The sequence below is a fragment of the Homo sapiens genome, chromosome 7 (genome assembly GCF_000001405.40).
Source record: "Homo sapiens chromosome 7, GRCh38.p14 Primary Assembly".
Taxonomy (NCBI): domain Eukaryota; kingdom Metazoa; phylum Chordata; class Mammalia; order Primates; family Hominidae; genus Homo; species Homo sapiens.
The window spans coordinates 127,895,280-127,922,854 of record NC_000007.14 but is presented as its reverse complement, the minus strand read 5'-3'; the positions used below and the strand labels follow the sequence as shown (position 1 = coordinate 127,922,854).

The 27,575-nt window shown below is 40.3% G+C and overlaps 1 protein-coding gene across 2 annotated transcripts in view, besides 1 other annotated feature; it reads right to left on the bottom strand.

Moving 5' to 3' along the window:
- SND1 (staphylococcal nuclease and tudor domain containing 1) overlaps positions 1–27,575 on the bottom strand; it is a 440,400-nt gene that overhangs the window by 169,739 nt on the left and 243,086 nt on the right. For both annotated transcript variants that reach the window (NM_014390.4, XM_017011987.3), the window contains exon 14: positions 18,036–18,108. In NM_014390.4, coding sequence (NP_055205.2) covers positions 18,036–18,108 — 73 coding nt within the window. The remainder of the gene's footprint in view (positions 1–18,035; positions 18,109–27,575) is intronic.
- Positions 21,752–22,285: an enhancer, noted in NCBI's record as "NANOG-H3K27ac hESC enhancer chr7:127540623-127541156 (GRCh37/hg19 assembly coordinates)". NCBI's record gives its function as "activates a minimal SCP1, AML or CMV promoter by ChIP-STARR-seq in naive H9 embryonic stem cells {active_cell/tissue: H9 hESC(naive)}" and the evidence as "EXISTENCE:reporter gene assay evidence [ECO:0000049][PMID:30033119]".

Genomic DNA, 27,575 nt, shown 5'->3' with positions numbered 1-27,575 from the left:
AAGAGGACATTTGGACATCTGTAGGAGCATTAAGCTGGAAGAAAGCCCTGAGCTTAGGATGTATCATTCCAATCAGTGATGCCCTCAACAGAGAGTATTACAATTATTAAAAGAAATATCCTGGCTAAGCAAAGTTTCCAAAGGGGGCAGGAATGGTATGCTTGCCCAACTAGAAGAAGGAAGCCACAGGGCAAAGTAGTGCAAGGATAGCACTCCAACATATGGAAGAAAACAATTACTCTCCAATCAGACTTGCAAGGAACTAAATCATCTAAGAGTTTAAGGAGCCCTAAGAAAGTCAGACATCTACAAACACTTTTATTTGGTTGGTCCTACCCACCATTTATTTCTTCCTTTCCACAGTGTACAATACTGAGAAATGAAACCAGAACTTGGCAAATACTTAGGAAGAGAAGACACATCTCTATGTTTAGAATGAAAACATGCAAAGCACCATTCGGACAATCACCGCAGTTCACTAAGATAAAGTGAAATAATGTTAGAGGAATAGATTAGGGACCCTCAGAAAATGGTCTGAGCCAGGCACGGTGGCCTCATGCCTGTAATGTTTTGCCTGAGGCAAAAACATTGCTTGAGCCCGGGAGTTAGAGACCAGCCTGGCCATCACAGTGGGATCTTGCCTCACAAAACAAAAAAAAAAAAAAAAAAAAAAAAAAAAGGAAAGAAAAAAAGAAAATCAGCTGGGCATGGTGCTGCACACCTGTAGTCTTATCTACTCAGGAGGCTGATGTGGGAGGATAGCTTAAGCCTGGGAGGTCGAGGCTACAGTGAGCAGTGATGGCGCACCACTGCACTCCCAGCCTGGATGACAGAGTAAGACCCTGTCTCATTCTTTAAAAAAAACAAAGCAAGGCAAAGCAAAGATAATGGTCTGGACGTTATTCATAATCACTAAAATTGGAAATAACCTAAATATCCCTCAACTGGGTATAAATTATAGTACACCACACAATGGAATACTACTCTACGCTAAAAAAGACATGGGCAACAACACGTATGAATCTCAAATACATGATTGCATTTGTATGACATTCTGACAAAGGTTAAACTATAGTTAAACAGAAAAACATGAGTGGTTGCCAGGGACTAGAAGTTGACTCTAAAAGGAATGGAGGAATTGGGACAATGGAACAGCTCTAATATCTTGACTATGGTGATGATTTCATAAATATACGTTTCTCAAAATGCACATTTGCCAAAACTCACAGAATTATATGCTAAAAATGAGAACATTTTACTGTATATAAATTATACCTTTAAGAATATACAACAACACAATAAAAACAACGTGCACAGGAAGAATATACAATATTTTAATTTTTAACTCAAGAAAACTTTTCCCCTAACTAATCTGTAAGTAGTTTGGAGAGAATATCAAGTTCAAAATTAACCACCCATTCATTATGTTTTAAATCATCTACTTTGATCACTACTTTGAATACTAGTGTATTAAAATACTTAAAAAATTTAAAAAGAAAATGGTTTAGATGAGAAAGCAAGGGGTTAGAAAAGCACAGAAAAAAAGTCTCACTGGTTCCACAAAAGCAGCTTAAGAAAGTCTAAACTCTTGGGCAATAGCTAAAAGAAAGCATCAGATGGAGCATGAGGTCATCCTCACAGGCCATAAAGAGGACACATTTTGTTCAAATAAAGAAAAAAGTTCTACTAAGTACTTATGCCTACTGACATTTCTTTTCTACCTTGAAATAAAATCATGTGATACAGCTTAATGTGAATAAAGTAATACCCAATTCTCAATCAAATACAAATTCTATACAAGCTCAGAGATTGTTCTCTTACTGAATGACTTTCAGTTTCCCAAATTTAACCATATGAAATTATGCTGTGAGAACCATTCAATTTAACCTTTAGAAATGAAGTCATTGCCTTTTAGTGGTAAAAATCTGCATTTTATCATCGACAGAAAATACAATGCCCTTGGCTTATTCTAGAGAATGCTTTTTTTTTTTTTTTTGTTAAGATAAGTTAGGCACAGAAAGTGCAGATGATGGTGTATCTGTGCCTCAAGTAAAAAGGGCGGAAATAAGAATATACCTAGTTAGGATAAAGTATCAAGCACATAAGCTTGCTTTCTTCCTGTCTTCAATCCTCTTTCTCTAACTTGGGTGAGAGGCAGCTATCAAGGCAGTGCCAAAGGTGCCAGGTGATGAGGGCTGCCAACCCACAGAACTATCTGAAAGGTATGGCTCATAATTCTTGCTGTATAGAAAAGCTTCCATGAATAAATCTGCCTCCCTACCTCATCCCAAACTGTCCCTTTTCCCCTTTTTTCCATACTCTAACTTCTCAACACACTAGTCTTACAATTTTTTGTTAACTCAATACTCAGTGTTTATAGTATCATGGCTTTGTAAATGATAGCCCTCCAGTTAGAGAGCTTCCTCCCAAGAGTTCTTCCATCCTCCTGCGACCTCTGCAGGGTGGCTTGCTAGGATTCCCCTTGACCAAGACTCTGGCAATTCTTTTCACAACCTTTCCCAGATTGCTTCCTCAATCCATGCCTTCTGCTTTATTGGTTTATTTCCCTTCATTTTTGTTTAACAAACAAACAAAAAACTATAAACTATTTCATAGACAAAATGTCTTATCTCTTTGAGGTCAAGTAAGTAAATCCACTATTGATTTTGTAGTTTTATTCAGGAGAAAAACTATCCTACTCTTGAATATGTTGAATCAACAGACAAACTTCTTCCATTATTCATCAGTATAGTAATGTACTATATTTTTGAAATAACTGAATGCTTTAGTAATGATGTGAAGAAAATTTATTTTAGTATGAAACTTAATTGTATCTACTCAAACACAGGAATAAGAGATAGTGGTTCAGAAATACCAATTTGTAAGAAGAAAATGTTTATAGGAGAGTTTAACACTGGGAGGTATACCTTCCAATTATTTTCAGCTAAAATATTCTACGAAAGCAGGTACTTTACTCAAATCGTAAACATCCAATTTATATCAAATACACCATTAAATTGTAATAGTTAAAAGTAGCATTTCTATTTTGAACTGGTAAAGATAAACACAGAAAAAGGCCATTTAGACTTTTAACAACTCTAGAGTTACTTTTCTAAGAATTAAATGATAATGAATTTTTATAGGAATACTACAATAAACATCTTCCACATTTTCAGAATTGAGACATGAGACCGGGCTAAAAACATAGCTTACACATGGTATATGGCATTGAGAATACAAAATAAAGCAAATCAACCACCATCTACAACTGTGCACATCAATTACAAGGCTAGGATTAAACAATAACTTAACAGGTTTAAAATACTATTTTTTTCTTTAACAGTTTTAGATCAATTTTTATCACTTCCAAAGTCTCTATAGGCAAGAGGTAAGAACTTATTACAGAACCAGAAAATGCCTTCAGAGATAATTAAAATAAAATGTGCAGAGTAAAAAATTTAAAAGACATCTGATGAGGCACAAGTCTTCATTTCATGGGCAAATCAAGAACTTGGGGCAAGGAAATTCATGTCACACTTAACTGTGTCCCACCCAACACAAGAATGCAACTTCAGAAAAGAACAGAGAAGAAAAAAAGTCAGCAAGTAACCTATAATATAAAAATTACCTTAAAATCAAAATAAATGTTAGTAAAGGCTAAATGGCTAAAACACTTTTCATACTTCCTAAAAGTACTTTGAACATTCATTTTTGCCTGCAGACATACCAGTATAGGTTCAATAAACCTTAAGTGAAAGTTTTATTTTTATGTCTAATTAGTCTTTTAAAAGCCTTACATTTTTAAAGCATTAATAAAAATAGATAATTATACAATTCAGAAGAGAAAGTTCCAGTTTTTTCTAACATGGAGAAAAATGGCAACAATTATGATAGAAATTTATTACTAATTAAAACAGAAAGTGGTCAATATTTTGAAGAACAACAAATGCATCCAATTAAAAACCCAATCATTTTACTCAATAAAGATTTATAGGATGATGTTGTTAAAAAATATATGCTATTCTTTGGCCTAGGTTTCTACTTTATGGACATGTTCTGAGAAAATAATTATAGACTGTGATTTATCTGAAGGAACAAATGTTTATGAGAAGAAAAAACAATAAAACAACCCCAACATCCAACAATAGAAGGCTGATTAAATCAATTCTAGTAGAACTATTTACAGCGTTCATTCATCCAACAATATCTGCTAAGCACCTACTTGGTGCCATATACTCTTCTAGGACCTGACTGTATAGTTAAGAATAACACAGTAAGGCCTCCCATCCTGAAAAGAGCTTACAATACTTAAAAGAAAAAGAAATAAATAAGGAAACCCACATTGTGGTGAATAGAAGAGTTAGTAGTACAGATAATTTCTATCCTTTTCACTCACTTATATTTGATGCATTTAAAAACAGAAACTTTGACAAAAAATTCGAATAAAGAAAAATATGCCTAAGGTTTTGTTTCTAAAAGAAAAAAAGTCATCTGGGGGCGGTGACTCACGCCTGTAATCTCAGAACTTTGGGAGGCTGAGGCGAGTGGATCACTTGAGGTCAGGAGTTCGAGACCAGCCTGGCCAACACGGTGAAAGCCCTTCTCTACTGAAAAAAAAAAATACAAAAATTAGCCGGCTATGGTGGCAGGCACTTATAATCCCACCTTCTCGGGAGACATGAGAATCACTTGAACTTGTGGGAGGCAGAGGTTGCAGTGAGCTGGGATTGCGCCACTGCACTCCAGCCTGGGCTACAAAGTCAGACTCTGTCTAAAAAAGAAAAAGAAAAAAAAAAAAAGAAAAAATCTATGGCCGATTAAGCTTTGCCTAGATAAACTTGTAAATTATTAAAGGTCAGATAACTAATTGTCCCTTTAGTTTGTAAGTGTCAGCATTCAACATTCACTGCAGTGAATTAGTTCTTATAATTAATTGTTCTACATATTTTGAAACAAATAAATATTATTGATGCTATAATAAAGTCTGTAAACTGATGTGGAAACAGTTTGACCTGAAGCTGCATGTGAAATTTGCTCTGTGATTCCATCAAAAACAGATTTAAGCACAGTGTTTTATGGTACTAACGACACCAAACTAAGTAGCCTGTTTCTAAGGACTAAGAGTTTAATGTGGCTGCGTGCAGTGGCTCACACCTGTGTTCCCAGCACTTTGGGAGGCCCAGGTGGGAGAATCACTTGAGCTCAGGAGTTCTAAATCAGCTCTGGCAACATAGCAGATCCTATCAGTATAGGATAGAGATTCTCTCTCTACAAAAAAAATTTTAAAAATTAGCCAGGTGTGGTAGTGTGCCTGAAGTCACAGCTACCCGCGCAAAAAAGAGTGTGGACAATGGGTAGAAAACAAACAAAAACCACACATTAATATGATGTGAGAATAAAAATTTGTTCCTAGTAAAGAGAGCAACTTGTAAAAGCCCAACAGTCAGGCTCAGAAATAGATTTAATAAAGCATATACATGCATGCATACAAATACGTGAAAACAAGCTTAAACAATAATGAAACTACTTTTACAGAATGATACTTCTAAAGTAGTTAGAAATATAGTTAGTGCTTTCGGTGTATTTGGGAATTCTAATTCTTCTTAAGGAAAATATAGAATTAATCTTACCCCACCCAGTGGCTTTACAACTTTGTTATGATGTAACCACATGTGGATATTATATTGGGGTTCTAGAATTGAGACTCTAAGGACCTTGTCTATCAGTGGAAAATGATGTACCACAGAGTGCGTAAGTGATGGCAGAGAATTGAGATAGCTTTGGTGAAGATAACATAAGTTAGTTTGTTCAGTTAAGGATCTCACATCATTGTCATTTCTTTCTCCATCAGTGCACACTTGCTGATGGATGCCCTCAAGATTCCTCACTCATTCAAAACTACATAGACGCCATCATTATGTACATGTATGCATTTCCTATTGTTACGAAACTCCTAAAAACTACAGATCTAGAGATAAGACACAGTTTCTGCTGACAACTCAGGTGGGAAGATATCTAGCTTTTGCTGCCCCCCTGCTTTCCTTCATTCCACAAATACTGCTCTATGGTCACCAGTAACTCATGGAATTGCACTGTCCACTGGATAGTTTTCAATTTCATCTTACTTTACCTTGAAGCTGGAGACTCAATTCTTGCCTTGTGAAGCTCTCTCTATTAATTTGTACATTATACTCACCTGATTTATCTCCGACAGCTTGGGCGGCAACGTTTTAAAGTCTGTTTGTTCAAACACTCCCCATCCATACGTAATCTTGAAATAAAGGGCTTGGTCTAGGGACTCTTCTCTCTTAATATTCTCTGGACAATTTGGTACACTCACATCTAGGTGTCCTATAGTCCTAAACTCATGCATGAAGCCTAGGTCACTAATGGCTCATTAGTGCCTCAATTTTAACATGTTCAGAAAGTCTTAATTTTCCTTGCAAATCTACTCTGCCATCATTTACAATATCAGACAAGGAGCACCACCATCAACCAGATATTTGTGCCAGACATTTGGAAAGCTCATGCATGACACTTGATTTCACTTCCCTTCCTTGACCCCAATCCAATCAACCACTCAGTTCTACCAGTTCTTATACCAAAATAGATCTCACATTTATCTTTCCGCCTCCATTGCCACAATCCTAGTTCCAGCCACTATTCAGCAATCACCAGGTGAACTGCAAATTCTCCCCTAACCATTGTTTCAAGTCTATCTCCAAATAAAAGCCACAATGGAAAAAAAGAAAAATTAATAGATATATACCTAGCTAACTCTCTCTCTCTCTATATATATATGTATACATATACACACATAAACACACACACACACACACACACACACACACACACACATATGCTGTTCTAATTATTCTACTCCCATTTCAAAGATTTCTCACTGTTCTTCAGATAAAATTCAAAATCCTTTTCAAGGACTATAACGTCCAAATTATTCAGTTATTCATTCTCCCATTACTATCCTCACATTGCAGCAATGCTGACTGGTCTTCCATTGTGAACACAAACAATCTTCCACCTCAGGACCTTTGTATACAACATTTTATCCTTTGGCCCTGAACAAGATCTTCTGCTAACTCCTTCTTTGGGTCTCACTTTGAAATCACTTCAAGGACTTTATCAGACCACTTAGAATAAGCTGTGGCCACCAGTATACACTCTCCCAGGACTCTGTACTCCCATTACAATTGTAATTATATAACAAATTGTGTATTCCCTGTAAAGACTATAGCTGTCTTGTTTAATATATTCTCAACACTCAGCATTCTTGCTGGCATATGAAAAGCTCTTGATAAATACTTATTGTTTGATCATTCATTCACTGATTCAACATGAGGAATGCATTTAAAAAACAAGACAGAGATGGCATATGTTAAATGTCAAAAAAGAGATAAAGAGGCAGTAAAAGAACTCAGGAGAGGGAGCGGTAGGATTTGGAACCTGAACTGGATGAAGAGTTTGCAATGTAAATATTACTGAGGATGATAATGACAGCTCTCATTTACAGAGGACTTTCTGTGTGCTAGGCAGACTGCTAAGCAATTTAATAATAATGAACACCAGGCTGGGTGCAGTGGCTCGCGCTTGAGCCCAGGAGTTCGAGATCATCATGGGCAACATGGCAAAACCCCATCTCTACAAAAAAATAAAAAATTAGCCTGGCGTAGTGGTACACATGTAGTTAGCTACTCAGGAGGCTAATGCAGGAGGATCACCTGAGCCTGGGAGGCAGAGGTTGCAGTGAGCTGAGATTGCGCCACTGCACTCCAGCCTGGGAAATAGAGCTGAGATCCTGTCTCAAAAAAAAATAATGAACACCGGCATGTGAACCACTGCTCTCTGTTGAGCTCTTACGTCAACTGTTTAAAACAGCTACATTTATTAATTCATTCAATCACACCACAATCCAATGAGGTAAGTGCCATTATCATACCCATTTCCCACAGGGGAAAACTGAGGTACAGAAAGAAAAAATAACTTCCCCAAGGCGTCAAGGTAATAAGCAATGGAGGCACAACTGAACCCCAGTAATCTAATGTTAGAGCCAGTGCTAATAATCATGACCCCATACTGCCACTATATTCTAGAAGACATGCACCCTTTCTGCTGCGTTCTTTTACTAACCAGCCCGCTTATAGTTACTAACCAGTACAGCCAATCCTGTACCTTGGAGGATGGGGCACTTTTCTCCAAATACAAGTTCATGCTGTTTGAGCCCATCACTTGGCAAACTGAATGTAAACTGGGCACTATAATGAGATACAAAAAGATCCCCTTCTTAGGAGTTTAGAAACTAGTAAGGAAAACCAATGCACACATATTAAACAACTTATGAAATTATCAATTTATCAACAAGCACAAAATCATGGTAATATGATTATGTAAATGTTGAAGAAGGGCATGATCAGAAGGCAATGGGGATAAAAAGGGAGAAATTACCTGGAAGAAGAGACATATGCCAGGGAAGAAGGCATGGCCAGCAGGGGAGAAGAGACAGCATTGCAAAAAGAAGAAATGTGATTCAACAAATGCTAATTAACAATGAAGTCCGAGTCAGTCAACTGAGGACCTTAAGTAGTGGAGGAGATGAATATGATCTAAAGAAAATAAATGGGCTCTACTGCGGGTGAAGTATCTGGGGATGTTGCAGTAATACAAATCAATATAACACAGGTCTTCCTCCAATTTAGAAATCTGGGTAATAGCTTACATTTTCAGGCCCCTTCCAAATTCGATACTGTATTAGGAATTCTATAATTTCTTCCTGAGAACACCATTTGCTGAACAACTGAGGCAGAAAACGACCAGGGCATTTCAAAGCAACCCTGAGCTCTAATTTCAAAATATCTGGATGTTAACACTGCAAGGAGTGTCCAAAATTCTGTACGACATAGTCTGTAGGGAATATGTTGTAAGCATGCTAAATAAAGACTTAAAATACAAGTAAGCAGAATGTCTATGTTAGTGAAATTACTTACTTTGAAATGTTTATATAAGCAATAGCCACAGGACACAATGAGTTCAATCCAAGGCTAAGTAGTGTTATGATGGTAAAGTGGAGAGTGAATCTGGGGCTATGCAGAAATATTTCAAATTTTATCACATCACTCAGCAGCCATGGGACAGATCAGACAATCCAATCACACACCTCAACCTGGGAATCTGAAATTTTGTCAACTGCTGCCAAAATATACTTACAATCATCCCTGTAATGGGCTCATTTAACCTATTTTGACCCATGAAATAGAATCATAGAGTGTTATCTACATACACCCAGAGAATGGGAAAGAGAACAACCGAAGAGCATGGACCAGCTATAGCCAAATCTATGGCCAGAGGAACTCTCTTTGGAAAAATATGCTACTTTATTTGGAAAAAATGTTCCTAACTCCCTCAATTTCCTTTCTCATGTCTTTGAACAAAGAAGAAAGGCAAAAATCATTATAGCTCAGTACACTTCACTAAAAGCTAGGACCCTGTTGCAAATGCTGAGTGCATTTGCATGCACTCCTGTTTGTGAAGGCACAGTTAAACAAGGAAGCAGAAGGAAACTAGAAAAATTTATGGCAGAAAGTTTCCTGATAATAGAATCCACGACAGTGACATGCTACTGATTATACTGGGAGGAAGATGTTTTTGTTATATAAGAACGAACAAATAAAGAAGCCCTGTCTCTTAACAGTGCTCCACCTCTGGGCAGCTCACCTGAGCAAACATTTTCTGAGGTGTTGAATTGCAGAGCTAGGACACTCATATCAAAGGACAAGAAGCTGTGCCCTGCTTTCAAAGTCCAATCCTAGCTCCCTACCTCAAGGTTATCTGCTCTGGTGCCTGAATTTTCCAAGACAAGACTGTTCTGAATAAAAAGTTAAACCAAGTAAGGTACAGACTTGGAACCAGACATGATGCAGATGAAAGAGACATATTCACTTTCTAAATTTTTCTTTTTTTTAGAACTTTCACAACCAAATTATTGTTCATGTTTCCAGGTACAGAGGAGGCAACAAAACTAAGATTTTCAAAGCATATAATTCTATAATCCTTTATTGCCCACTATATATGTGGTTTTGTATTTCTCTTGCTTCTACAATTGTTTCCCCTGTTAAAAGATAATTTTCAATAAGGTAAAGTCTTGACTCTTATTCAAATATAAAATAAACTCATGTAGAAAATTTCATTTTAACCCCACTAATTAATGAGGGAACCAGAAAGGCTCAAAGAGACTAAAGAACAGATATAGATAAGTTACTAGGAATACTGAGGTGAATTTGCTACAGACGCAAAAACAGAGTCAAACTAGGGAGTAAAAATGTAAAGTTTGAAATCATTTCTCTTACAGGGTGGGAATCAATTGTATCTCTTCAGGACTACATTTCTACATCTCTATTTACAAAGATGCAAAACAGCCCAACTAAATGAAGCTAAATAAGAGAAGTGAGAAACCATGTCCTAAATTGGGTGCCCTCCAAAAACAACACAACTCAGTCAAAAAGTGGACTAAGATCTACAAAAGGAGGTAATGAAACACAACCATCATTAACTGTGGTACCTGCTGCAATGAAATTTTGAAAAAAATTCCCATGTAAATCAAAAATGCTTTCAAATTTATTTAAGAGAGGGATGGCCCTGTAGTTCTGGCAAATTTGAATAGGGGAGTTTCAAAAAACAGAAAGTGGTTGCACAGAACCACTTTGTCATATGAACAAAGAAACTATAGACAGCCAGGTGTTGTGGCTTATGCCTGTAAGTCCCAGTTACTTGGGAGGTTGAGGCAGGAGGATCTCTTGAGCCCAGGAGTTCGAGTCCAGCCTGAGCAACATAGTAAGATCTCATCTTAAAAAAGAAATAAAAGAAAGAGAGAGAGAAACAAACCATGTACAAAAAAACTCCAACACAATAAAGCTATGTCTTCCATCATAAGGGTGAGGGCAACTGGCTGAAGCAACTCTCTGGCAGAATCAAGATCAAGGTCTTCTTAGTAACATCCAACTCTTAGCAGAGACATGCTTTAGAAGAGGTGAAAAGAAAAAAGAGGGCCGGATGCAGTGGCTCATGCCTGTAATCCTAGCACTTTGGGAGGCCAAGGTGGGCAGATCATGAGGTCAGGAGTTCAAGACCAGCCTGACCAACATGGTGAAACCCCGTCTCTACTAAAAATACAAAAACTAGCTGTAATCCCAGCTACTCAGGAGGCTGAGGCAGGAGAATTGCTTGAACCTGGGAGGCAGAGGTTGCAGTGAGCTGAGATGGCGCCACTGCACTCCAGCCTGGGCAACAGAGGGAGACTCCATCTCAACAAAAGAGAGAAAGAGAGAGAGAAAAGAGGCCAGCCATGGTAGCTCACTCCTGCAATCCCAGCACTTTGGAAGGCTGAGGTGGGAGGATCACTTGAGCCCAGGAGTTTGAGACCAAGCCTGGACAACAAAGTGAGACCCCATCTCTATTTTTTTGAAATAAAAAATTAAATTGAAAATATAAGAGAAAAGAAAAGAAAGAGAAAGAGTTTGAAGTTTTTTCCAAAGTCTGGGAGAAACTTACGAGGTGGCTGCCACTTTGGCATCAGAGGTTGTGTGCCACAGAGGTGATGGCATGTTTCTGTGCAGTGAGGATCCAAGCCAGTCACCTGTACATTGTAGTCCAACTAGAGTTCAATAAACTTTGCTTGAAGAAAGAAGAAGAAAGAAATAGAGCAATAGCTTTTCCTAAATTAGTGACAACTTGAGCTACGAAACACAACAGGGAGGCAAGGAAGCCACCAGGATAACCCAACACTCCCACCAACCATGGCTTCCAGGCAAGGGGCCAACCATATTTAGAGAGGACACACTGCCTGCTCTGGAGAGCAAGTTCTGCAGACAGTGAGCTGGCTCTTCCAGAGTTCCTTTGGGATTTTCTCGGATACCAAATGCAGAGCCCAGCAGTGGAGCCAGCAGCTACTGTGTGAATGAAGCTCCAGTGCTAGGCAACCCCTCCAGGTCACAGAAACCCACCCGGCAGAACCATAGGCCTTGATGTTGTGCCATCTGTACAATAACTTAGACTGCAGTTGGCAAGAGAGACGTGAGAACATGATGTAGGGCCATGATTTTAGCCAAGTGGGGTAAAAAAGGGAAGGGCTATTTAAAACAACAAAAAACAAATACACTCAGAGAGCATTTGTGCCATCAAATACCAGAGACTAGAAAAAACAGAAAGCTGAAAGGAACATTAGAATCATATGAGGGTAAGAAAAATAAATCTAAACTAGGTGGGCCAGAAAACATATAAGAAAAACTGCAATTTAACACAGACCTAACTCATAAAGCCCCTGGGTGATTTTGCTCCTTTTACCTTCTTCAGACTTACCAGGCAAACCACTTTTTTCTTTTTTTAATTCTCTCTTTTTTTTTGAGATGGAGTCTCACTCTGTCACCCAGGCTGGAATGCAGTGATGCTATCTTAGCTCACTGCAACCTCTGCCTCCCAGGTTCAAGCAATTCTCCCTGCCTCAGCCTCCCAAGTAGCTGGGATTACAGGTGCCCGCGACCACGCCTGGCTAATTTTTTTGGTATTTTTTAGTAGAGATGGGGTTTTGCCATGTTGGCCAGGCTGGTCTTGAACTCCTGACCTCAGGAGATCCGCCCACCTCAGCCTCCCAAAGTGCTGGGATTACAGGCGTGAGCCACCGTGCCTGGGCTTTTTAAAACTCTCTTTAGCCAAAAAGAGTAATAATTTTTTTCTTATGCTTCCATCAAGGCCTAAATATTAATAAAGAGCTAAGGAAAGGTAACACCTACAGAAACCTCAAAGAAAGGATGACAGTGCTATTAAAGTTTAAGAGGGCAATGAAAACCAGAAACTGAAGGCAGAGGTCAGGAGCAGATGCTGGAGAAAATCCAACCCTGTCTACCAATCTATTTCTTATCTATTGATTTAATCTTATCTAACTGTTTTAAAGGAACACTTCAATCCTTCACATTAGCAAGTCAGAATCCTACTGGTCAACTCTGTAAGACTTCGTTTCATGAATAACAGGGCCCCAAATGTCTGACCTTCTTCCCCTGTGCCCTGCACCTTCCCCAAAGCTAGTCACTGGATCATTCCAAACCATGGCTTAATTTTTAGGCTAGGGTGGTGGCTCATGCCTATAATAGCAATACTTTGGGAGGCCAAAGTGGGAGGATCACTTGAGGCCAGGGGTTTCAGATTGGCCTGGACAACATAGCAAGATCCTGTGGGTGTGATGGTGTGCACCTGTAGACCCAGTTACTCAGGAGGCTGAGTCAGGAGGATCACTTGAGCCCAGGAGTGAAAGGCCACAGTGAGCTATGACTGTGCCACTGTACTTTCAGTCCAGCCTTGGTGATAAAGTGAGACTCCGTATCCTTAAAAAAAAAAAAAAAATCAGAAATACTACGTATTTCTAACAAAATCAGTCACGGAGAAAGGTGGTTATAAAAAAGTGCTATGTGACATGAGCATGAAACCAAGCCATGATGTGATTAAACGTCCAAAGGAGCACAGCAGCAGTTAACAGATTAAAAAGACCCATGGATTAAGAGAGTAAATACTGTAATAGTGAAATTAACAGAGGAGCTGTCAGGACTACATAATATGAAATGGCAGAATATATTCAAAAGAAGACAATCCCTATTCTGGGACTTTCAGAAATAAGACTGAAGAGGATGCTATCTTCTTGTACCATCAAACAAACATCGTAACTCCTCATGCACAGAGGACAGACACAAAAGGAAAAGGACAGAGAAGAAAACTCAGATATACACTATGACTCATTGAGTCCTACTCCCATATAAGAGGAAGATGGAGAAGTGGAGGTAAAGGTAAATGGTAAAATCAGCACTCGCAGGGCTGGCTGCAACTTGAGGAGTGGGGAGCTCTCTCTAATCTCAGAACCATAATTGATTTGTCTGATCTACCAGAACAACAGTAAGCCATGTACCAGCCCCATTTTATTGCCTGTTTTACACTCTGTATCTGCAGGAGATTGTATTTATTACGGAGCAGGCTACAGCAAAAACAATAATAAACCTAAGATAAAGAACAGCTGAGAAACCTGAGATAAAGAACACTGACACACATACTCCAATTTTTTCTATGCTGGTGAGGGAGGGAGCTCAGACAGGATCAATGAAAAACAAAACCAACTAATAATGAAAACATGTATGTATGAAGTCAGTCACCACAGAACCATCCTTCAAATCAAGTAAGACCTAGTACCAAGTCGGTCAAATTCTCAGCTGGTTCTACACACTCTGGAACACCCTGGCTTGAAAGGAAACTAGACTATGATAGAAATGGCAGCAGTGGCTGGTACTTCTAATAGCCCAGTTCCTACTCTGTGAAAAATTGGAAATAACAAAAAACCAGTAACTTCTTCAGGATCTAAGGTACCAGCTTGGGAGTATGTAATTTTCTTCCTTTAGTGGTTACCCTAAAAATAGGTGTAAGAGACGCAGATGGGTCAACACGCACGCACACACACACACACACACACACACACACACACACACACACATTTATTATTATTTTTTTTTTGGTAGAGATGGGGTCTCACTACACTGACTACAAGACCAAGTTGGTCTTGCATTCCTGACCTTAAGCAATCCTCCCACCTCGGCCTCCCAAAGTGCTGGGATTATAGGTGTGAGCCACCACGCCCGGTCTAGAGGGCCAAATTTTTTATCAAAGCCCTAGACAAACTGGGGGTTCATTCAGTTGGTGTTATATGCAGATGTTCTGTCCATCTTATGGACAACTCAAAACTCAGTTGACCTTGACATCAAAACCCATCTGTAATAACAAACAAAAAGGCCGGCTTATTTGGCCACTACAGAGGCTGGTATCTTACGTTCTAAGCCATAAACCTCACACTCCTGTGCTTAGATGAGTCACTTCCAACCATAAGCAATCAGCCAAGCAGGTCTTGTATTTGCTAGGTCTTCATACAAAAGCATTTTAACGCACTCTGACCTTTACTCTGTGAAATCATTTTTTAAACAGCAAGAGAAGAGATCATGGAAAAGGAGTAGAAACTCAACCCCTAAAATGGAGGCAGTTAACACTAGAACAAAATTACAGGTTATTTGCTCCACCATTATGATATAATCTCTTCCATACAACACATTTCTTAAGAGTGTTTAGGAGACAGAATGTGCACTTAAGCATGTCTTTTTCCTCACCAACAATGTGTACTGGGATGGAGAGGAGGGTGGTGAGAGATATTATGCACAAACACCAGTTCATTGTAAATTATTTTGGCAGATATTGCCTACACTGTCAGCTCAACAAAAACCTCCATTTATCATGGCCTGCAACTAAGAGGGGGATCAATCTGGGGCAGTAGGTAACACAGTTAAAGATTAAAAAACAATTAAGAAACCTCTGTGAAACCATTACGTATATGTGCATTACATTGTCTTTTTCCCTGTTTATTTTTCATCTGGCTGTAAGCCGTCTGCCCATCTGACCTCACACCTGTCCCACAGACAGCAAAATTGCCAGCATGCTTCAGGAAGCAGAAAACCCATACATCTCACTTAAATTGAACAAGGGCACCCAACATACACACAGACTTAACACTGTGATGGAAAGAAGGGAAGAAGGTGGGAAAAGACAAAACTCCTCTATTAAAGAGGGCACCAAAAAAACTGCACTCTTAGGTGAATAATTTGTGATTCAGGCAGACAAGGTCATATCTGACATCCATTTAAATCGAGCAGCTTTTTCACTTTCAGTCTCCCACTTGCTCAAGCTTTACTCTTTTATTTATGTGGTGACTGAGAGAAATTTAATTGGCATTTATGTTTAACTTAAGAGCAAACCAATCCTCCAATACTGAGACAGAAAAGATAATAAAAATTGGTATGAAACTGAGCTAGAGTTTAAGGGGGAATTGGTGGGGTAGGAACAAAAGTAAATAAATAAATGAAGACAAGTTTCACAAGACCCACTGCTAATGACAACGGAAATAAAGGAATAAAAAAAGCATCAGAAATCATCAAGGCAGGAGGCAGCATAAGATTCAGAGACAGCAATAAAGATCTTTAGGATACCACACTGAGGGGTGTGGAGAGGACAACCCTGAGACTGGTGTGCCTGAACCTCAAAACCTCCTTAGAGTTGCTTCACCTCACTGTTGGTGCCAAATCAGAACTAGAAATGAACTCAGGTGGGCCCAAGGAGAGAGCCTATCCCTAAGGTTGAAATCAGCTTCTGGAAGGCCCTGGAGTATGGGCCCCACATAAGTTTTTGGATGGGCATATTTGGCCCTTTGTGTAGACGGGTTTTCATTGCATTTTCCAAAGCACTTATAACTTTTTTCTCCTGCTGAGGAACCACCAAAAATTTGCCCTTTTATTACTATAACAGCTTTACCAAAAGACAAATATTAAGGAAAGCATTGTTGAGAATGCCATGCACATACATAAAAATATTAGCAATATATATGCAAAGAATAACTCAGCTGGGTAAGCTACACAGAAAACAGGCCAAGTAACATCGCACTGGATGAGTTACACCTGTTAAAAATGAACATTAGCAGATACACCATAGTTACCTGTGGCTCAAAGGCCATTAGCTACAGGTTTCTGGGCTTCTCAGGATTCTAAGCCACAAAAAGTGCATATCACTTTACTTCACCCACTTAACAGAGGCCCCAACCTGTAGACTGAAGTCCAGTTAACATGTTGTAGGTAACATTGTTTAACCTATAATCTGCAGTGACTGGTTATAGAGAAAGAAAAGCTCAACAGAGTCCCATTGTTTAAGATGAGCAGGAAACCACTACACCTAGGCAAGGGGGAGCCTGCCAGACACATTTGTAGCAAGCAATCACCAGGAGCAACAGAAAAAGCCTCCACCAGGCCTGGGCACACCACATAACAGGAAGATAATACACTCTGATTCATCTCTCCTGCAGCCTAGGCTGAGCTCTAGCACTTTTGTTTATACTAGTATTTTCTTCTCAGGGCCCAAGGCAAATTCCCTGAGTGCCTAAGCTAAGATTTACCAGCTCTTCCTCCTTCCATCTACCCTGGGCTTCATCTCCCCTGGGCATCTTCCCTATGCATGGCACAGACCTGATCCTCTCTTTAACCATTAGTGACTGTGGTGTTGAAATGGATGGTATGTGTCTTGGCAACAGAGAGTGCCTTTCCTGGCCACCTGATCAAAATCAGCACTTACACCACTCACTATCCCCTCGGCCAGTTTTACTTCTCTTCACAGTAGTTTTCGCTACCTGACATTGCAACTGCCTCCCTTTCCAACTTGAATGCAGGGACTTCAGTAGTTTTCTTCATTGTTATATTCTCAGAGCTTAGAGCAATTCCTGGCATACAGCAGGCACTCAACAAATACTTGTTGACTAAATGAATAAACTAGCTCAACTATCAAACGGATCTATGCAGCCAAAGAGACCCTAAACATTCAAAGGTAAAGTCCTTACAGTTAAAGAAACATTTGGACACAGCCTATTGGGAGCTCTAAAATATTGGTGCCATTGATTCTTCTTTATTATCTATATGTAATTATCTCAAAGGATGTTCATACATTTCTCCATTCTGTCCCACTTACAGGCAAGCAGAGGAACAAGAGGTCATGAGGAAATCATGATGAATTCATATACTTCTCCTGAAATCTATACTTGACCTTTTGCTACTAAGACTTCCCACTCACAGCAAGAACTGGACAGGGGTTTTAAAAAGAGGCAATTTTATTTTAATACAACCAAGAAGAACTACCTTCCAAACTCAAAATACAGTAATTAAAAATGAAAAAGCAACATAGAAACAGTTCAGGTAAAGAAAAAGAATGAAGTTAATTCTGCTTTTCCAGATAATAAAACAGGCTCCCTATAGATACCTAAGTAGATGCCCCGGGGTGGGGAAAAGTCACAGTCAGTGCCTGAAAAGGAGCGAGCTAGAGAAAATACATAAGCTGAAGTCCTTCAGCAAATATGCAGACACGCTCTTGAGCCTCTGAGCCACACAGCTTGATTCAGGGACTCGACTCACCCCAGATATATCTGCAACACGGTGGATAGGCACTTCCTTCTTGCTATGCAATCCTTTGCCATTCTTAATAGCTCTGTTAAGGAAGAAGAGAAAAACCGATTAAAACAAGAATCACAATGGGAAGGGGTAGGAGGGTGCAAAAATGAAGAGAGAAGCGAGGGTTGTTAAAGTGGGGATGTATGACTACACAAGTCACACTGTACACTGCTGAGTAGCCAGTCTGTGCAAGAGGATTTGGTGGAGGGGGGATTATAAAGCTGCTCTTCTCTTAAGCCCTGTTACCAGCACTTGGCTGCCAGTTTCCACTAACAGTGTGCTTAGTAATCAGAGGGCTGCCTTACTTGTTTTCAAATTAAAGGCATTGTTCCAGGCACAAAAGAAGAATCAGTTAGAGGAGCACAGGCCTAAGAAACAGAAGTAATAACATTTCTTTCCGTGTTTAATCACATGAAACATTTTAAATGCAAAATATGTGGCTAGTGTTCCAATTCTAATGGAAATAAGTTCCTCCCAGGTAAAAAGATAAGTTGCCCTGAATGGAGCAATACTGTAGAGAAAAGTCATGTAACAGTAGGAAAAAAAATTAGCAAATGCTACATAACTGACATTAAGTCTCATTTTCAATCAGTCTTAGCTATAATAAGAGGGGATTTAACAGGGAACTCTGGGACTCTGCCAACCTCAGCCATGGGTTGGTTTGCTCTAATCACCCAGTCCTCTGAGTGGTAGCTCTGGGGACAGAAGCCTACGCCTCACTAGGTACGATCACTGGTATAACAATGAAGGACCACAGAATAAAAGCTGACTGGTGAATTACTTGGTCTGTACACTGTTGGATAAGGCCTTCTTGTGTACTGCCAGCCTGCAGACATCAGCAGGTAAGAGTTCTGAGCTTAGAGATAGAGAACTAGAGATTAGGGGATGTTCCCACAAATCTTGTCTATGGAGACTCAACTTTTTAGGGTTTTTGAATTCCAGAGGAAGTGTTGAGAAAGCTGCCCAGCCCAGGGCCAAATGTCAGGGACCCTCACACTGTCAGCCACATTTCCACCTCTTCCCTTTCAGGAACTCACTCAAGGAGCAGAGGTAGAGGACACACTTCTGCAGGGGTTACTTTCAGGGTCATCACTTTCTAAAGTAAACCCTCATAAGCCAAATTGGGTGGGTTTTGCTCAGTGCTAGGTAGAATAGTCTTATTTCTTTCACACTTGGGCTTTTATCATCCACCTGAGCCCCCTTGCTTCATCCCAGGGGATGTGTCCCTCACTCAACTCATCTGAAATGCTTCTGGTTCAGAAACAACAAAAGTTTTCCTACTATCTAGTTTCTACTCCTTGATGAGGGCAAGTACTGAATTAACAAGAAAATAAAAATCATACCCTCTCTCTCACTCTTATCTGAAATGCTAACTGAAAGACAGCACTTCCAAGCTCCTTGAATCCCGTGGCTTCTTCTGAATTTGAATCAAGGGCTTCAGCTTTAGAAATGGCAAATGGGGCCGGGTGCAGTGGTTCACACCTGTAATCCCAGTACTTTGGGAAGCCAAGGCGGGCAGATCACTTGAGGTCAGGAGTTCGAGACCAGTCTGGCCAATATGCGAAACCCTGTCCCTACAAAAAATAAAATAAAAAAAAATCGGGCTGGGTGTGGGGGCTCAAGCCTGTAATCTCAGCACTTTGGGAGGCCGAGGAAGGTAGATCACAAGGTCAGGAGTTTGAGACCAGCCTGGCCAATATGGTGAAACCCTGTCTCTACTAAAAATACAAAAAAATTAGCTGGGTGTGGTGGCAGGTACCTGGAATCCCAGCTACTCGGGAGGCTGAGGCAGGAGAATTCCTTGAACCCGGGAGGTGGAGGTTGCAGTGAGCCAAGATTGCGCAACTGCACTCCAGCCTGGGCGAGAGAGACTCCATCTCAAAAAAAAATAAAATAAAATAAATCAGCCAGGTGTGGTGGCACACACCTGTAATCCTAGCTACTTGGGAGGCTGAGGCAGAACTGCTTGAACTCAGGAGGTGGAGGTTGCAGTGAGCCAAGATCACTCCACTGCACTCTAACCTGGGCGAAAGAGCAAGACTTTGTCTCAAAAAAAAAAAGTAAAAGAAATTGTAAATGGGTAAAAATATTTCCCTTTACAATTTCCTCTAGTGATTTATCATTCAGGGATCCTGGTAGTGGTCAGCAACCAAGGCGATTCTCAAGCTTTGCCACTCACCCTTTGGGATTTGCAAGCTACCAGTAAAAGACTAGAGGTTGGTGGCTAGAAGCCAACTAACAATCCAACTCTTCCACCTCCCCAAAGCCCTGCTTACATCTTGCATGTCCTATTTCTATAACCTCCTCTGCCACCAACAGGCTCTCCTTATTTTGCTACTGCAAATTGGAAGGAGCAGCCGTAAGACTGAAGCTTCTGTGATGCAAGACAAGCTCCTTCCCACCCTGACCATACCTCACCTCCTTCAAGGCAAGGCCTGCAAAGCATTCTGCAGGTCCTATGGGGCACTAAATGCCTACAGCCTTATCCTTTAACAACAAGGACAACCAAAATAAATAGATCTGTTCTGTAAACAGACAGGTTCAAGTTAGAGCACTGCTGAAATTGTGGCCTTTCCTGGGGCTGGAGAACATCTCATGTACTATGAGAAAAAAAGAACAGGGCCTGAGCAGTAAGTTAGAAAGCAAAGATCCTCGAGGCAAAAGCAGTGAGGTGGGAAACTATAATTCTGCTTTCTTTCTGTGACCACAAAGTAGCTCTGTGCTATAAGCAGAAATCTAGGACTTAACCACAACTAAATACGCTACCAAAGAGGAAAAAACTAACATCAGAAACTGGAAGACGTGGATAATAGTATACATATGACATTTAAAACAATAACAGCAAAATGATTCTTTAAAATGGTCTTAGTATTAATATTATTCATGCTCTACCCTGCTTCTAAAAAGCATATTATCAGATACTTATTTGTGTTCTGGCATAAATTTTGGGAAAACGTTCAAAGACAATTTTTTCACACTTAAAATATTACTGTTAAACTCTTATCAATTTCTGGCACATTCAAGAGGAAGCAAGAAAGTAGCACTGTACCAGCATATGTAAACTGAGAAGTAGCCCTTATTTTGTTAATTCTTCATGAAAGAGAAGCAAAATTCAAAGTTAACAATAGGTAGTTAACCACTAAATTCAAATATGCCCACCCAGGAAGCACTCTAGCCTCTTAGTAGCACACTAGACCCAGGCTGCAAAGTGGGAGGGATCTGTGAGAAAAGAGCAGAATAACCTGCGGCAGCACAGGTCTCCTTTCCCTGTGCAGAGGCTTCTTCACTTCTGGTTCCCACACTGCTGCAGGAACGATGCTGAGTGAGCCATTTCCAGAAAACCTCCCTCTGCTTGTCACAAGTCTGATGCCACAGCAAGAGATTCTCCACGAAAGAGTATCTGGGGGAAGTAGGAATTCAGGAATGAATCTCACAGAGGAGAGGAGCAAATTCCAAGAGGGGAGGCCTGCCACCACTATCTGCAAAGGGAGAGTACCATCTTTATTCCAGGCTATGAGGATACATGACATGGAGACCCAGGCTCTGCTGAAAACAAGGTGTACTGCCTTGCTACCACTTCTCAGTGGGGTTCTCCTCTGCATCTCACATAACCCAGTTTCTCTGGGATAGATTTGTGGAGCTCTGTCTTTGAGACATGGGAAGGTAGGCAGACCGCAGGCTGGCTTCCACCTTATCTGCTCCACAGAGCAAACACTAATTCCTGCTCCCCATACTGCCTTTCCCTGTTGGCCTCAGCCACAAGTCTGCATCCCTTTTCATTAGGCAAGGAATGAAACTCCTGACTTCTAAACTTCTCCTGCTGTGTCTGCTTAACAGCCGCTTCCTCACAAAGGCAGGCTAGTGTGCAGGCCAGCCAGCAGAAAGGAAACAGTGGGGCAGAACATAGCCTACTCCTCTCAGCAGCTTTCTTCTCCAAGATGCAGCAGTACAAAGACAGCAAAGACTACCAGTGTCAATAACTGACAAACATCATCACCAGTCAGGGAAAGAAAGTATATATCCACACACATGCCAAGGAGTGGCAGGGCAACAGAAAGATGAAAACACAGCTTTCTAGGTTGTTTCTAGGAGCCACAGGGCTGTATGGTACTACAGTGTGGGAAGATGAACTCTATTCAGACCACTGGAAAACTCTGCTTTCTTTAAACAGCAAAGCTCGAAACTCTCACATATTAGCTGCTGCTTTTCCTCTAGAAGAAAAAACCTACAACTTTGCAAAGGCAGACAACATTTTTGCAGGGAGATCATCTCCATGGCCTCAGCACAAGATTAGAATCTGCACACATTTCATGCCAAGGAAGAGTCTGCTCTTAGGTTTGCAGTCTCTAGTTCATCCAGAAAATCTCAAGACCAATGCTCTCCAAGCTGGATGTCTGAGCACCGCAGTCACAGTCCCTCCCGTGCCAACAAACAGGCCTCCATCTTACTGCCAATTCAACGACAGTAGATTGTTATTCTGAACAAATATTTTTGTGAGCTTACAAAGAAATTCAAAGGATTTATGGCTAGATCCAACCTTATCACAATCATAAAATAGTTATCACATCAGGAATTCTTAACCTGGGGACATAGTGCACGTCAGCTCAGATGCTAGAAATATCTCTGATCCACCCTAAAGTATCTGTGAATTTTCTGAGGGAGCAGGAGCTTTCAACAGAGTTTTACAAAAAGAACTACTTTCATACATGAAAGAGATCTAAAGAAAATAAAATGACAGAAAGCAGAAATGGCATGCAATAGGTGGCAGGGAGATGACGGGGAAAGGAGGCTACAGAGCTGAGAGAGATTAGGACCCCTGAACACGTCTCCTCATCTGTAACTTCCTTTTAACAATGCTTTCCTGGTAAGCAGCCTCCATGATGTCTCTTCACTCTGCTTTTGCTTTACCCCAACATCCAACATTCTTCTTTCATAATTGTGCTCACTTGGCCCTTTTGGAACCCTCTTGGTCTAGGCCCTCACCAATTTATTTCAAGATAACATCAGGGATATCTTAACTAAATTCATGCAATCCCTTTTGAAGCTACACACACTTTGACTGAATATTGCACACCACTCCCACATCACTTCTCAATAAAAATCGACATCATCATTTTCCTCCCCTACTTATACTCCAAACAAAGACAACCAACCAGCTTGTGAAATCAAGTGGAAATTCTCAGACTTGGCTTTCATGGGTCTCGACCATGTGGCCCCAGTTTACATATCCACATGATTTCCACATTACTCCTAATCCAATTAGGCCCATTTTCTTCATGCCCCCTACATGCCAGTAATTAATTATGTGTGTCCCCTGGGCTTTTGCTTTCCCCTTGATTCCACTTGTTGTTCTAGGTCAACACTACAATGAAAAGAGTATCACCTATCTGTAGCCACAACCTCACTACAATCGTAAAATAGTTGGGAGAACAGAAATTTTTAACCTGGGGTCCTAGGTGAACTCCTTTGAAATGGTAGTATAATGTGTGTGTGTGTGTGTGTGTGTTGTGTGCAGGTATCACTCAGTTCAGCATGTAATTATAAACTGCAACATATGACTTTCAAATTGTTTCATGTGTTAATCTTTATTTCTGTATCTAGACTACAGGTCCCTTGAGGGTTAGTATTCTGCCCTTAATCTTTATTATAGTATTTTAACAGACAGCTATCTTTCCATAATTATAAATTCAGGGCCATCTAGTTCAATTAAAGTGTGCCAAGTAAAGCTGAACAAATGCTTGGTAACTGACTGATTAATGCGGAACAGTGAAAATATTTCAAATTGGAGACAGTGACAATGCCAAAGTGACTGTAGGGCAAAAAAATGAGGTTTGTTGGCTTTCCCAGATACACAGTTTCATGATCTATGCTCCAGGGCAGAAGCAGCTAAAGACTGGCCTCTGAGCAGAAACAGAAGCAGAGGAGCATCCAGAACAAAAGCATCACATCCCACATCAAGTCTCCTGGAACTACAAGAGATGGGCAAGAATCTAAGTGGCAGTGAGTGGGAGCAAAGCTTGACCACTGTAAACAATAAAACAGAACCAAGTAGCAGGATTGTAAGGAACACCTATTAAATAATCAAGGAAAAATGACTCAGTAGGAAGAAAAATTAATTCCAACAGAAAAGGTTGAAAAGCAGAACAAAGAGTAAAAAACTTGGTAAACTTCCGAAGCACTTCTCATTGTGTTTCAGGTCACATTGAGGAATATGGTTTTTCAGCATGAACCAAATACAGACATCAGTGAAACATGGTAGCAATAAACAATTCCTTCGGCCTTTCTCCTGGTTACTTGGGAGCTGGAGGAAGCGACAGGGTGGCACCACTCAGAAAATAAGATACAGAGCAGGAGCAGGTGCAGAATGGTAGGTGGGGGCACTAAGATTATGCAGCTGCATTTTCAATGTAATTGAGAATTACCGATGAGAAAGACAGAAAAGATTGAGAGTGCATAGACTGGAAATGAGGAAATTGAGTCCTACAGTCAAGGGGAGGTGGGCGGACTAATGAGTCAGTAGGTATTATGAGGCAGTGAAGCAAATAACAAAGAACTCTAGGTCATCATCTCGTCTAAAGCTAATATAAGGAAGGAATGAAGATACATGCTATTGTGCTGGGTATGACAATGGATCTACAGTGGCAGGTAAGGGGGAGGAAAGGGATTATGAACTCCAAGGCAGAGAACAACCAACTCAATGCTAGAGATGAGGGGAACACAGTTGCAAACTCTACTATCCCAGATTAGGATCAAAGGATTATTAGAGCTGGGTAGTAGTGGTTATGAGCAGTCTAAAGTCTTCTTGAGAGGATAGGGCCTCAGGAAGGTAGATTACTCAAAACTGCCTCAATGACACTGATTTTATAGTTTTTGCTGTTCTGATTACAAAGTTCATCAGAAAAAAATTTCAGGAAACAATGACTCATAATCCTATTTCAAGAAAAAAAACACCGTTTAAGTACCACTTTTAATAGGTGCACAGGAAATCCATCATATATGGATGTATGGTTCAAAATTTTAATCAATCCCCTGTTGCTAGATATTTATGTGAATAGTTCTACTACTATAGATAATGCCATGAGGAATAACTTCTAAGCACCTTGCCAATTACTTCCTTAGGATAAGGAACTGCTGTCATAGGGCAAGAAATTGGCATTTGCTTTCCATCTCCCTTTACCAAGGCAAACCAAACAGAACATGCCTTCTCTTGTGGACTCTATTGGTGGATAACCCATCAATCTGGGTGCTCCTTTCCCTATGAATCCCAACTACCCACATATATTCTCCATTTTTGTAACTATATTTGTAATTATTTACTTGTTCACTGAAATCACCACTAGATCCTGTGTTTTTGTTTTTACCCCCAAAATACCTGATAAAATACTTGTTACATAACACAAACACATCAGTTACAGAAAACTTTAATGTGTCTTTTGACTGAGTGAAAAGCAACAATTCTGTGACAATGTTCAGTTTGGAAAATGGTTTTCCAATGTGAGCTATATTTATTCTGACTTACTGGAAAAAATTCATTGCCATAGCCCAGAGATTTGGCTCTCTGGCCTTGATGCAAAAGCAAGAGCAATGGGAAGTAATTCTTCTCAACTTCTGGGCCCAAAGTTGGAGGGTGCTGGCGGGAGGCAGAGTCAGAAGCAGCTTAGGATAAAACAGAAATGCACAAGGAAGTTTACAAGAAATTTAGATGTAAAGAATCCTGCAAATGAAAGAAGCTATGAAGCGGATTTCCCGTTCACAATCAGCTACAAAATTCTGTGCATTGATGTATCAGTGATTAATTATTTGAACTATAGTCCTCCTGAGAGACTTCTAAGGATTAGAGCAGAAGCATGATAGGGATATGCCTAATAGAGACTCAGCTCTCCAATCCACTCAGCCACCTGACGCTGCAGATGAGCCAAAGCAAGCAAGCACTGTAACACTCGAGATGATTTCACATTAAATTAGCCAAGAGCTGGTGGAGGCTATTCAGAAGGAATCGAATTAAGGAGCCATGAACTCAGAGTCTGAGGAAGGGGGAAAGAGACAGGAGTCAAGGGGAATAAAGAGCTGGGACATACTATAGAAATCCAAAGCTCATCCATTCCATGCCTTGTTCTCTGTTACTTATAACCACGACTGTAATTCCAATTACAATGAAGATTAAATGATCAATCTTCCATGAAAGGGCATACACTTTGATTTGTTTTACAATGATCAGGAACTGATTAGGGCAGTGCTTCTCAAATTTTAGTGTGCATCAGAATCACCTAAAGAATGTGTTAGACTGCAGGGGGCAGGGTGCTGAGAATTCACATTTCTAACAAGTTTCCGAGCGATAGTGATGTGCCTGGTCTGAGAGCCACTGGTTTAGGGAAGCAAGTTGTAAGACATTCAAGAAAGTCAAGGGTCAAGTGTTATCACTTTATAGTTACAATTTATTTTGGATTGAAATTATATTCCCAGTACAAGAACCTCCCAACATATCAAATATTTTGGGTTGTGTGAAAGAAGCAAGAGCCTCTTAGCCAAGAGGAGAGTGAGACGGAAGAAAATAGACAAGTGGCTCTGGACAGATAAGTGGTCATAGCTGAACCTATTTTGGCGGATGGGGGTGGGGGAAGACACATTGATGGCTAATTCATGTAGGAAGTTTAGCCTAGAACAATGTCCTCTCTGAAGGAATACAACCAGTGTAGACTAATGATTACAGAACAGAGCCAAGGAGGACTGCTTTCCAGCAGTTAATCATCCACCCATGATCTGCAGGACTACCCACGGCTTGCTAGTCAAGACAGGAGATAAAGCTAAAGGGCGTCAGCTATACCCCAGCCCCTCATGAATCATAAAGAAAAGTCTCACAGCATGAGTTATGTCAGAAGGAACTAGGGGTGGGGAGGGAAGAGAAGGATGGGATGGAGGGAGTGAACAGATCCTCTTAATATCCTGAAGGAGAAAACTATTTGGAAATGGAGACATCATACAGCTCTCCAGAAGTGGCCATTTGTGCTGCCTTAAATGCAGATTGATTACTGCTATTTGGATGTTGAGTGCATCATCTTTTCTGAAGAAAGGGAAAAGCTAAATTTCCCCACGTTCAGCTGCATCGTCAAATCACTTCCCAACACCAGCTCTTTTAATGCATTTTCCTGTTATCACATCCACTTGCAAAAACTTATCTTCCCTACTCCCCAACAGCGAAACCCTCCACAGACACATAATGACACGTGCTGAATCCAGTTAGCAACCTCATGATCGTGACACTTAACTGCAACCCCAAAATGTAGGGTGGGGTGTGCATTTCCAAAGTTAAAAAAGAACGGAAGCCATTAGGACATTTAAGAGAAAGGCCAGTCTCCTCCTCTGTGCTGGCTTTCAACCTGTACTGGCATGATGTAATGCAGAGGGTGAAGAGGGCAGTCGTAAGGCACCGAACTACCGCTTCCTATGATGCTTGAGCTAAAAATCCAACAGTACCCTGGTGTTACAGGAATCTACCATTAAACT